This window comes from Homo sapiens, chromosome 7 (assembly GCF_000001405.40).
Source record: "Homo sapiens chromosome 7, GRCh38.p14 Primary Assembly".
Classification (NCBI taxonomy): Eukaryota; Metazoa; Chordata; class Mammalia; order Primates; family Hominidae; genus Homo; species Homo sapiens.
In genome coordinates, this window is record NC_000007.14 from 121,143,864 (window position 1) to 121,157,420 (window position 13,557).

General features: G+C 34.8%; 1 protein-coding gene and 1 long non-coding RNA gene across 6 annotated transcripts in view; one reads left to right on the forward strand and one right to left on the reverse strand.

Moving 5' to 3' along the window:
• Positions 1–13,557, forward strand: part of CPED1 (cadherin like and PC-esterase domain containing 1) — a 308,732-nt gene that overhangs the window by 155,153 nt on the left and 140,022 nt on the right. The gene's annotated exons all lie outside the window — the stretch shown is intronic.
• Positions 1–13,557, reverse strand: part of LOC124901735 (uncharacterized) — a 122,886-nt gene continuing 109,329 nt past the window's right edge. The window contains exon 3 of the long non-coding RNA XR_007060494.1: positions 1–13,557. This exon is cut by the window's right edge and continues 23,244 nt beyond it. This is a non-coding gene — a long non-coding RNA (uncharacterized LOC124901735).

Here is a 13,557-nt window from a genome sequence, read left to right on the forward strand (position 1 = left end):
TCTTCGTATTGGTTTTATTCATAGTAGCTAAAAGTTGAAAAAAATTCAGTAAGAAAGGAAACAAATCCAATATTATACTATTGGGGCATTAAAAATAAATGAAGTATGGATACACACAAATATGAAACAATCTTCAAAACCTTACATTCATAAAAACAAGCCAGACATCAATAATGAATGCTAGCAAGGATGTGGAGAAAAGAGAACCCTTGTACTCTGTTTGTGGGAAAGTAAACTAGTACAGCCACTGTGGAGAACAGTATCGAGGTTTCTCAAAAAACTAAAAATACAACTACTGTGTAATCCAGCAATCCCACTGCTGAGTATATTTCTGAAATAAAGGAAATCAGTATATTGAAAAGCTATCTGCATTCCCATGTTTGTTGCAGCATTATTCACAATAGCCAAGATATGGAATCAACCTAAGTGTCCATCAATGGATGAATGGATAAAGAAAATGTGGTACATATATACAATGGTGTATTACTCAGCCATAAAAATGATATCCTGCCATTTGCAACAGCATGGATGGAACTGGAAGATATTAAGTGAAATAAGTCAGGAACAAAAAGACAAATATCACATGTTCTCAGTCATATGTGGGAGCCAAAGACAAGTGGATATCATGGAGATAAAGAGTAGAATGCTGGTTAACCATAGTCTGAGTAGGGCAGTGGAGAGGCTGGGATGAAGAGTGGTTGTTAATGGGCACAAAAACACCAATAGAAGGAATAAGGTCTAATGTTCAATAGTATAACAGGGCAACTGTAGTTAGCAGTAATTCATGGCATATTTCAAAACAACTAGAAGAGTGGAATTGGAATGTTCCTAACACAAAGAAATGACACATACTTGAGGTGTGATAGATATCCCAATTACCCTGATTTGATCATTACACATTGTATACTTATATCAAAATATCACATGTATCCCATAAATATATACAACTATTATGTATCCACAACAATTAAAAACAAAAAAAATTAAAAGAAGCCAGATATATAAAGAAATACTGTATTTCACTTATATGAAGTTCAAGAATAAGCAAAACTAATCTATGTTTATAGAAGTCAGAATAGCAGTTACTAGAAGGTGTAGGTACAACTAAGCATGAGGGAATTTTTTGGGCAAATGTCCTATATCTTAATCTGGGTGCTGGTTACATATATAACTAGGTGCTATATAGATAGATACAAATTTAATTAACTGCATTTAAGATTTTTGCAATCTACTGTTTAAAATTATACAATATATCAACTATACATGTGTATTTGTGTATATATATATATAAATTATGTATACTGCATATAAATTATACCTCAATAAATTAGGAAAAAAGATTGGTGGGAAAGTTATATATTCCTTTCTTCCATGACACGTTTCTCCAATGTTGTATTGATCAGAAACAAGTTAATTATCATGCCATTACCTTAAAGAATAGATTACGTCAGGAAAATGTTACTGTAATATCAAGAAAAGTATTAGAAAATTCTTGTGGGATGAATCCTACAGATAATTGCAGAAAAGTATGTTGGTAATTTATAAGAATCCTTTCCACAAGGTCTTAATTTACAGTTTATGTGTGGTCCCACAGTAAGTATTATATTTTATAACATGGAAAATTATCTGATAAGCACTAGTACTTTTTAGAAAGTGTCAAATGAGTGAACACAAAAATGTGGCGTGAATAATGTGGACTGCTTTAGATACTTTACTAGGCACAAGTGGCTTCATGAGCTGGGGGAAGTCAACAGCAGGGGTAAAATTTTCTCACCATAGATTCCACTTAAAATTCTAACCCATAGACTTTTCTATTATTTCTCTTTTATATTTAATCTCATTAGTGTCTTTAGGTTTCAAATTAATAGCTAAGCAGATATACATCAATGAGATTTACAAATTTTTACTTTTCCAAGCTGTTCTTTTTTTTTTTCCTTTCTGTCAACAACCACAGTGTCCTCACTATATTTGTAGGGCTGAAATCTAGAGTCAAACTGTTGCAGATTAAATGGCAAGCTGTTACATTTAAATCCCCAAAGCCTATGCAGGCAAATCTAAAGGAAAATGAACTAAACTTTTATTATATTTTATTTATAGGTCAAAGGGAAAAATTATAATTTCTCCCTACATTTCAAATTAGATTTTGGCCTAATGAACCCCATTATTAAATTTTAAATAAACATTGTCTTAACATATTTGTGCTGCTCTAACAAAATACTTGAGACTAGGTAGTTTATAAAGAACAGAAATGTATTTCCTTTAGTTGTGGAGGCTGGGAAGTCCAAAATCAAAGCACCGGCCTTTGGTGTCTGGTGAGGTTCTTCGTGCTGCATCCTCACATGGTGGAAGCGGGAAATGAGCAAAAAGGGAAAATTCTATGTCCTCACATGGGGAAAGACGCAAAGGGCAGCAAAAGGGTCTAAAGTAGTTACCTCCAGCACTTTTATAAGGCACTCATCCATTTATGAGAGTGGAACTCTCATGATTTAATCACATCCGAAAAATCTTAATACCATCACAATGGGGATTAAGTTTCAACACATGAATTTTGGGGACATTCAAACTACAGCAAACTTAAAAGGCCATCCACTTCCAAATAACCAAAGAAGAAGAAACCAATTTAAGATTAATCAAGCCTCCTAATTTCTCCTTCCCCTATTCTCTTACCTTCTGAGCATCAACTCTGCATGTTACCATTTTGCCAAAAGACTAGCATGGCAGAGTAAGCAAAGATAAAGCATACCAGTCAATTAAAAAATCAATTACAATAACATTTTGATAAATAGTAAGATAATTTGATTAATTTATTAATAGACATTTTATCAAACATTATTAAGTACCAACTTAGCCATAATGAACTATTTGAGTTTATTTAATGCCTGTATTTTAGTTATTTTTATGCTAACTAGAATTTGTATATAATTGTCCCAGAGACGGCTCTGAATTTAATTAGCTCTTAGTTTAGTTAATTACCAGTGAAGGAGAAAGAGTTAATTTACATAACATATAACCAGATTGGGATTAGAGTTTCTCAATCTCGGCACTGTTGACATTTGAAGCTGGATATTTCTTTGTTCCAGGGAAGTTATTCTCTTTATTGTTGGATGTTTAGCAGCACTCTTGGCCTCTATCCACTAGATTCCTATAGCAACCCCCTCCCCAAGATGTGTCAACCAAAACTGTCTTCAGACATTGCCAAATGTCTGTTGAGGGACAAAGTCAACCCTGATTGAGAACCACTGGTTTAGACAAATGGGTTTCTGTATTTCTACTGTCCTATGTGTTTACTAGGAGTGTGAATAATTTATGGGTAATCCTTCTGTGTTGTATGTTGGAGAATCATTCTTATCTTTCATCTTTGTATTTTAAATCATTTCTGTAGACAGTGATACTATTCTGACAGCTCTTTATTCTATTCATTAATCTGCCTTCTTTTCTGCCCAATGTAATTATTACAATCAGAAGCATGCATTCAATTACAGAAAAGATCATTAATGAAACATAAAACATTATATAATATAATGAGTCTGTTATTTCATTTTGATTTACCCATAAACAGTATAATGTTTTGCTGTTAGGAAGAAAGATTTAGAAAGTAATAAACTGTTATTGTGGCTAGAATATGTAGTGTTTAGGAATTAATAAAATATACTTATAAGAAAATTGCTATACACATAGGGGAATGTTTCTTTTAATACCCCTTTCCATATCAAAAAGTTTTGACATGGGGAACAATATAATATTCACACAAGTTGATTTGTATAGATGATCTATGGTATCATATACATTTTGCCCTCAAAATGTTGCACCAGAATAGGGTCATAAATAAAAGCTACAGGAAGGTTATATATAGGAGAAGCTTGGAGACTATGTTTCACAGATCTGTTTGAAACAGCTTGCATTTTAAAACAGATAATACTAAGGAAGGGGAAAATAGGATTTAAAAAATTCTCCAGCATTTAGCTACACATTTGAAACTGGCATTTGATGACTTATTTTTAAAAAATCAATTAGCCATCTAGATTCTGAGATATTAAATGATGTGTGAATGACTTCAGTTATGATATTTTGAAATGGTTTAGAACTCTCTCATTTATTTTTTTGTACCCTTCCAACACCATAGAGGGCTATTATAAAATAGCTCAAGTGATAGTTATCTAATAGCAAATATCCATAATGAGAATAGGGAGTGCATTTATCAGTAATTATTTAATAAAAACCTATTAGTTTTCAAAGTTGTACTGTCAATTAAATACCTATTTTAATGGTTATTAGTTACCTTGCCTACTTCAATTTACCAGAGGAATATGATTTAATTTTTCAACAATACAATATGTGCTATAGTGAAGTGCTCTCAACTAGTAACATTTATTAAGTACCCACTATGCACTTTGTTCTGAGAAATATGCTATGTGCTATAGGGGAATACAAATAGCAGCAAAGCAGCAGCCGAGGTAATAGGTGTAGTAGCAATGAAGCATTTGTAGAACTTTTGTTATGTGCCAGGCATTATGTTAGGCACTTTACCTTCTTGCCTTATTTAATCTTTACCCCAACCTTGAACATAGGTGATTTTTTAATCCTCCTCTTATTTTTTAACATATGGAGAAACTAAGGCTCTAGAAAGGTTAGAAATCTTGTCAACCCTTTCTATGAAATAGATCATTAGTAAAGGTGGGGTTTGAATATAAGTCTTGCTGACTTCAAATTGAGGAAGAAAGAGAACAACTAAAGAAATAGGAGCAAATAATACTGAAGATGCCAGACAGGAAGAACTTGTTGGGAATTGGGGAAGAGAGATGAGAAGAATTGATTGGGAGTTAGAAATGAGATTGAGTGAACTGGGCTGCCCCATAGATTGTATTCCTGACATGTGTGGGTCCTAGTCACTTTTCCCTTTGTGGACCCTTTGTTCCAACAAATAAATAAATATTACATTTTACAATAGTGTTGATATAAAGACAAATGTATTTATATTACAGATATAGACTGTCTTCTCCGACTGAAAAGTTTGTTTTCTTTCTGCTTTGAAAGAAAATAAAAATTTGGGGGCCCCTAAAATATCACATGCTGTATGCACTGTGGCTGCTGTGCCTAACAGAGTAGTTGGTTCTACTCTTCTGTTTCACGGTAAGAGATCTTTAGCAGTGGCACCTACTTCAATATCAAATGACCTGGGCTGTCGGCGTTCTTTCAAGTCTTGTTAAGTGCCCTTGATTTAAATGCATAACCTTTGCAGGTATTTCAGATTCTTTGTCCATGGACTGAGGCATCCTTTACCAGTGAGCCGTCCTTTACCATCATTTACCAAGAGCCCACAAAGCACCTAGGGAAGTGAAATGTTATTTTCCTGAGCAGCAGGTGCACGGAGACATTTTGAATGCATAGACCTCCCCAGTGGCCAGGAAGCATTTGCACACATCCAAGGCTTGGGAGGTTTTGTTTAACATTCAGTTTTCTTATAAAGCAAGCAAAGATCAGAGTGGCATGTTCTTTCAATCATGATCTGTTTCAGCACTTATATAAATTATCTTTTGTGTTGATGAAAAAGAGTCATGTTGAACACTCACCTCATGAGGTCATGCCACTTACGATCAGATAGATTACCATTTACATAAAAACTTTTGCTCCACACATTTGTTTTGCATGTTTCTCCAACTCACATCTGCTTCCTCTGCTAGAAGAAGCAAACTTTTGCTACCCAGCAGAGCAGCAGAGCCAACACAATGTGCAGGAGAATTGGGTCTTCCTAGCTTCTGACAGCATCCAGAGAAGTTTCTGTAAGTACTGTCTCTGCAGTATTCCCTCATTGTTGCTTCAAGTTTATGTTTTGACATTCTAAGAATTTGTCTTCTGATTTCTGAACTGGACACAGAAATAGAAAGGAACCTGAGAGGTTTTTTTCCTAAAATATTCTGCTTGAGTAGCTGGATTTCCAATGTGACATTTGAAACTTTGAAACAGGTTGTAGCTAAAACAGAAGTAGAGGGAACCTCTTTTTGATTAATGCCAGTCCCTGATGCCCACATCTTTATGGGCTTTAATTGCTCCAAAATTTTATCTTTTATCTATCTTTCTTCACTTCCTTCCCCATTTCTCAAGCCAAACTAACTCAAGCAAAGGTATATACCAGCATAGTGAGGATGGTGGTGAAAGAAGAGATCTTAGATACGAAGTATTTTGTTTTCATGATTTCAGCTTTTAATTTAGATTCAGGGGGTACCTGTGCAGGTTTGTTGCATGAGTATGTTTTGTGATGCTGAGGTTTGGGGTACAATTGAACCCACCACCCAGGTAATGAGCATAGTACCAAAGAGGTAGTTTTTCAACCCTTGCCTCCCTCCCTTTCTCCCCCATCTAGTATTGTCTATCATTGCCATCTTCATGTCCATGTATGCCCAGTGTTTATCTCCTACTTATAAGTGAGAATATGTGGTATTTGGTTTTTTGTTCCTGCATCAATTCCCTTAGGATGATGGCCTCCAGCTGCATCCATGTTGCTGCAAAGGACATGATTTCATTCTTTTTTTATGGCTGTGTAGTATTCCGCATGGTGTATATGTATCACATTTTCTTTATCCATTTCACTGTGGATGTGCATCTAGGTTGATTCCATGTCTTTGCTATTGTGAATAGCACTGTGATGAACATACAAGTGCATGTGTCTTTTTGGTAGAATAATTTTTGTTTTGGATATATACCTAGTAATGGTATTGTTGGGTCAATTGGTAATTTTGTTTTAAGGTCTTTGAGAAATCTCCAAACTGTCTTCCACAGTGGCTGAGCTAATTTACATTCCCACCAACAGCATAAGTATTTCCTTTTCTCTGCAGCCTCAGGTTGGGCATTTTTATAAGTCCTTTTCCCACAGCCAAACCGAGTCTAAAACATTATTATTATTATTATTATTATTATTATTATTAGAGATGGAGTCTCGCTCTGTCACCCAGGCTGGAGTGCAATGGCACAGTCTTGGCTCACTGCAACCTCCACCTCCTGGGGTCAAGCGATTCTCCTGCTTCAGCCTCTCGAGTAGCTGGGATTACAGGCGCCTGCCACCACACCCGGCTAATTTTTGTAATTTTAGTAGAGCTGGGATTCGCCATTTTGGCCAGGCTGGTCTCAAACTCCTGACCTTGTGATCTGCCCACCTCGGCCTCCCAAAGTGCTGGGATTACAGGCATGAGCCAGTGGCTGGCTGATGTATTTTTTAAAGGATATTTTTGGCTTTATCAAACAAAGTTTGGCTCTATATAGGATAAATTAAAGCAAATGATTCCTCTGGGCCAGTGGTTCTTAACATTTTGGAGGAGGCAGTGTGCCCCTTAGAATATCTGATGAAAGTTTTGACCCCTCATCTCAAGAAATAATGTACGTATATATGCCCAATGCCGTATACAATGTCAGAGGTATGAAAAGTGCCAGGTAAAAATTCCTATCCTAGTAACTCACAATCTGAAGCAGAATATTACTAGCAGTGACACACATAATAAGGACAGTTTCATTTCTGTCATAAAATATACATGATTATAATTCAGTTTATTGAGCACTTGCTTTGTTCCAGCAACTGCACCATTTATACACATTGTTTCATTTGTAGTTTTAATGATAAAGAAATTAGTGCCTATTTAACAATATAACATTTTGGAATTGTGTGCTTTTTTCAATGATCTGTATTAGCACAAAGAATCAACAATTGATATAATTCTCAAAGCAAATTGCCACCAAATCTAATATTTGCCTTAGAAATAAATATCTGTAAAGGGCTACTAGCCCTTGCTTTCTTCTTACAGGCTTGAAAAGTGGTTATGAGTTGTAGGTAATGGTGCTCCTGAAAACCCAGAGAAATTGAACAGTATATCATTTGGACTATTTATATTGTTCTCATTAGTCAAAGCCATTGGTGTGCTTTCTTTCAGCAGGCTATAACAAATTGTTTTTTGTTCAAAGAAAGGTTGGCCCAATGTTTCAATTAGGTAATGCTGAGAAAATTTCCACATGCATGTGACATTTCCTTCAATAGGCATGTGTTGTAGGAACAAGATTGGGGGATGGAGTATTCCTTGCAGATGGTTTCACTGATTGCAGAACTAACTACAGGCTGGTTTGATATATGTTCCCTGAAGACAGAATTAGGACACTTTACCGCCTGACATATTTAACTTCTTTTGAAAATGATGCTAATTTGTCCTTTTTTTCTTTTTCACCCACACCCTTTTATAGGCAGGACTGATGAGTTTAAAACATTGAGCATGACCTCATTCTTCAAAGCAGAGCAGGCCCCTACCCAGTGCCCTCCAGCTCTCAGGACCTCATTCTTTAGCAATGTGGTACAGACGTTCACTGTGTTTGCTGGGTTTTTACCTCCTCCACATCCCCCAGCTCCCCACCCCTCCACATGCTTGAAGATGATCTTTCCAGACCTAATGATTTGGAAAATAAATATTGCATGTGGGCTTCTTGACCTGACAAATTATTTTAAAATTAAATTCTTGATAAAGTTAAGAGACCCAGCTTTCAAAGGTTTAAGAAATAACAGGGAGGGAGAAATTTTCTTTGAGTGAAATAATCCCTCTTAAATACTTTGATCAAAATACTATTTATATTGTCTAGATTTCAGTCACAGCTCAACCCTTACTTGTCAGAGACCTTGTACAATTTCTCATCTGTCATACATGGATAGTAATGATACTGATGCTCTAAGGGAGTTTTAAGGAAAAATTGAGTTAATATTGTGAAGATCTTGGAACAGTGCCTAGGCACATAAAGAGTCCAGTATCCATGTTTGCAAAATGTATATTTTAAAAGAGACAGATAAATAAAATATGTCTTCAGATTGGCATAAGAGGAAAGTTTAAAACATCAAATTTTATTTTTCCATTGAAGTCTAGTAAAATGTATTGGAGATTTTCAAATTTCTTAAATTTAAGTTTAGATTTAATAAGATACAAAAATATGAAGGACTTTGTAGCATGAATCACCTGTGCTAAATTATACAGTACATTTTTGTAATGAATGTGATTACAAACATTTCAGAATTGAGTGTAAATTTTGCCTTAAACATGTATTTTAATTTTGACAGTTGCATGATTAATGGTGGATTTCATTTTATTAGCGGTCTCAGAAGAGAGACTGGGAATTTAAGAATTATTTAACAATAAGAGAGAAAACCTTTCTTTACTAAAACCGGAAACATCTTTCAAAGATTCCATTTGGTAGATTCCATTAAGGATAAGGATGAGGGGATCAATGTTCTCTCTGCTGTTTTAATAAATTAGTAGCAAAGGATAAAGATATTACCTATGTTTTATCAGGAATGAGGCATAATCATAATGTAATTTAATTATTTTGTATCTGTAATCTCTAAAAAATACTATTATTCTAAAAGACGGTAAACTTGTTCATATATTATAATCAACTAAATGAGAAAATGAGTCTTAGCCTACATGATTTCAACCAAAACTGCTAAACTCTTCCTCACTTTTTTGAAATCAGATTTCATTCCAAATGACTTTTAGATATTTCCCAAATGCTAATACATCTTCACGGATTAGAGAATTGTCCCTCCTGAGAACATTTAGATGCATTGCATCTGATAATTATTTAGCACTTATTGTGTGTTAGGTTCTATTCTAATTGCTTTCCACTTATTAACTCAATTCTCAAAACTAAACCAAACACTTAAAAGGTAGATACTTTAATAACTCCCATTTCACAGATGAATAAAAGGAGGCACAAAGAACTTGCCAAGGTCACATAGCTTGTAAGTAGCAGAAACCATTTTTGAACCCAGAAGTCCTGGTTCCAGAGCACTGCTAATTACAAGCTATAAGCCACTCTATCACATACCAAAACAAGATTGTTAAAGTAAGTACAGTTGACCATTGCATAACACAGGATTCAATTACATGGGTGTAGTTATAAGCGGATTTTAAAAAATAAATATATTGAAAAATTTTTTGAAGATTTTCTGACAATTTGAAAAAACTCACAAACCATCTGGCCTAGAATCATCAAAAATAAGAAAAAGTTAGGTATGTCATTAATGCATAAAACATGTAGATCCTAGTCTATTTTATCACTTACTACCATAAAATATATACAAATCTGTTATAGAAAGTCAAAATGTATCAAAATGTACCAAACCCTTACAGACTATACATGGTGCCATTCCCAGTCCAGAGAAATATAAACAAATGTGAAGATGAAGTATTAAATCAAAACTACATAGAATGAACTGTAGTATGTACTGTGCTACTGTAATAATTTTGTAGCTGGTTATTGCAGTGAGCTCAAGTGTTGCAAGTATCCACATAAAATGTCAACTGACACTAATCATCTCCATATGAGGAGTTTAACTCTCCAGTAAATTGCGCATCACAGTAAAAAGGGATCTCTCTTTCTAATTTGGATGCCCTTTATTTCTTTCTCTTGTCTAATTGCTGAGACCAGGACTTACAGAATTACATTGAATAAAAGTGGTACAAGTGGGCATCCTTGTCTTGTTCTAGTCCTTAGAGAAAAGGCCTTTAAATTTTCTGTTCAGTACAATGTTAGCTGTGGGCTTGTCATACATGGCCTTTATTTTTTTGAGGTATATTCATTCTATATACATTTTGATAAGGATTTTTATCACAAAATATGTTGAATTTTTTATTTTTTATTTTATTTTTATTATTTATTTATTTTATTTATTTTTTTGAGACAGAGTCTCACTCTGTTGCCAGGCTGTAGTTCAGTGGCACAATCTTGGCTCACTACAACCTCCAGCTCCCTGGTTCAAGCGATTCTCCTGCCTCAGCCTCCTGAGTAGCTGGGATTATAGGCATGCGCCAGCACGCCCAGCTAATTTTTGTATTTTTAGTAGAGACGGGGTTTCACCATGTTGGCCAGGATGGTCTCGATCTCCTGACCTTGTGATCCGCCCACCTCGGCCTCCCAAAGTGCTGGGATTACAGGCGTGAGCCACCGCGCCCGGCCTAGAGATGTTGAATTTTATCAAATGCTTTTTCAGCATTGAAATAATACGGTTTTCATTCTTGATTCTGTTAATGTGTCATGTTTATTGATTTGTGTTCACAGATGACATGATCTTATACCTAGAAAATCCTAAATACTCTATCAAAAAACTTAGAGTTGCTAAACAATTCAGTTAAGTTGCGGGTTGCAAAATCAACATACAAAAATCAATGGCATTTATATATGCCAACAGCAAACAACCTGAAAAAGAAATCAAGGAGGCAACCCCATTTATAATAGCTATAAAAATATAAAATAACTAGGAATCAATCTAACTAAAGAAATGAAAGATTTGTACAAGGAAAACTATAAAACTCTGATAAAAGAGGTCACAAATAAAATGGAAAGATGTTCCATGCTCATGGATTGGAAGAATTAATATTGTTAAAATGACAGTATTTTCCAAAACAATTTACAGATTCAGTGCAATCCCAATTAAAATACCAATAACATTCTTCACAGAAATAGAAAAACAATCCTAAAATTTATGTGGAACCAAAAAAGATCCTGAATAGCCAAAGCAATACTTGGTAAAAAGAACAAAACTGCAGACATCACACTACAGGACTTCAAAATTAACTACAAAGCTATAGTAACAAGAACATCATAGTACTGGCATAAAAACATATGTGTAGACCAATGGAGCAGAATAGAAAACCCAGCTATAATCCATGCATTTACAGCCAATTCACTTTCACTTAAGATGCCACAAACATATAATGGGGAAAGGACAGTCTTTTCAATAAATGGTGCTGGGAAAACTGGATAACTATATGCAGAAGAATAAAACTAGACCCTTATTTCTCATATGCAAAAATCAAATCAAAATGCAATAAAGGCTTAAATCTGAAACCTGAAACTATAAACTAGCAGAAGAAAACATTGGAAAAGTGCTCCAGAAAATTGGTCTGAGCAAAGATTTTTGTATAAGACCTTAAAACCCCAGACAACCAAAGCAAAATTAGACAATCAGGATTACATAAAGCTAAAAAGCTTCTGCACAACAAAGGAAACAATCAATGAAGAGATAACCTAAAAAATGGGAGAAACGCCTTGCAAAGTGTCCATATAACAAGGATTCAATAACTAAAATATGTAAACAACTCAAACAACTCAATAGCAAAAAAATAAATCTGATTTTAAAATGAGTAAAAGATCAGAAAAGACATTTCTCAAGAGATACAAATGGCCAACAAGGATGTGAAAAAATGTTCAACATACTAACCATCAGAGAAATGCAAATCAAAATCACAATGGCATATTATCTTACTCCAATTAAAATGGCTTTTATCAGAAAGACAATAACAGATGCTGGCAGGAATGTGGAGAAAGGGGAACTCTGGCACACTGTTGGTGGGAATGTAAATTAGAACAGCCGCTATGGAGAACAGTATGGAGGTTCCTCAAAAAAGTAAAAATAGAACTACCAGATGATCCATCAGCCCACTGTTGAGTATATATCCAAAAGAAAGAAAGTCAATATAGGTAAGAGATATTTGCACTCTCCTGTTTATTGCAGCGCTATTCACAATAGCCAAGATATGGAATCAACCTAAGTGTCTGTCACAGATGAGTGGATAAAGAAAACATGGTATTATACACAATGGAATATTATTCAGCCATAAAAAAGAATGAAATCATGTAATTTACAGCAGCATGAATGGAACTGGAGGCCATTATATTAAGTGAAATAAGCCAGGCACAGAAAGACAAATGTTGCATGTTCACGTTCATATATGTGAGCTAAAAAAATACATCTCATGAAGATTGAGAATAGAGTGATGGTTACCAGAAGCCAGAAATGATAGAAGGAGGATGGAAGGAAAAAAGAATATAGCTATACTTATTACCACTGAACTGTATGCTTAAGAATAATAAAGACAGTAAATTTTATATGCATATTTTGTCTAAATAAAAAAATTAAAAAATAAAATGTGATCTCTCATGGCTCGTACATATTTTTATTGTGTTTAGTGCAATACTGTAAACTTGAATAACACCAGGGCACCCATAAAAAGTGCCACCACTAATGATGCTAGAAGTGCTCCCAAGAAGCAGAGAAAAGTCATGATATAACAGAAAAAGTTGAATTGCTTGATATGTATTGTCAGTTGAATATGTGTTAATCAATTGTTTATGTTAGCAAGGATTCAACTCAATAGTAGGTTATTAGCAATTATGTTTCTGGAGATTCAAACGTTATACTTGGATTTTTGACTGCCTGGAGGATTGGCATTACTAACCACCACCCCTCTTCTTACCTCCTGCTGTTCAAGGGTCAACTGTATATACTTTACATAGAGTTTTGGCTCCAAGAGTTAATTTGTAGGTTATTGTTTGGAACTTGTCATTAATTTCTAGTGCGTGTATAGAAGTAAATTTACATATGAGGTTAGGTTTTAGGTAAGCCTTTAAAAGCCCACTTAATATACGATATCATTAATATAGTGACGGGGGCAGTCATAAGAAAGGGGTCGAGTGCACCAGGGAGCCCTGCAACAATTACGTGTGGGGAAAAGGTTTGAGGGGCCAACATTG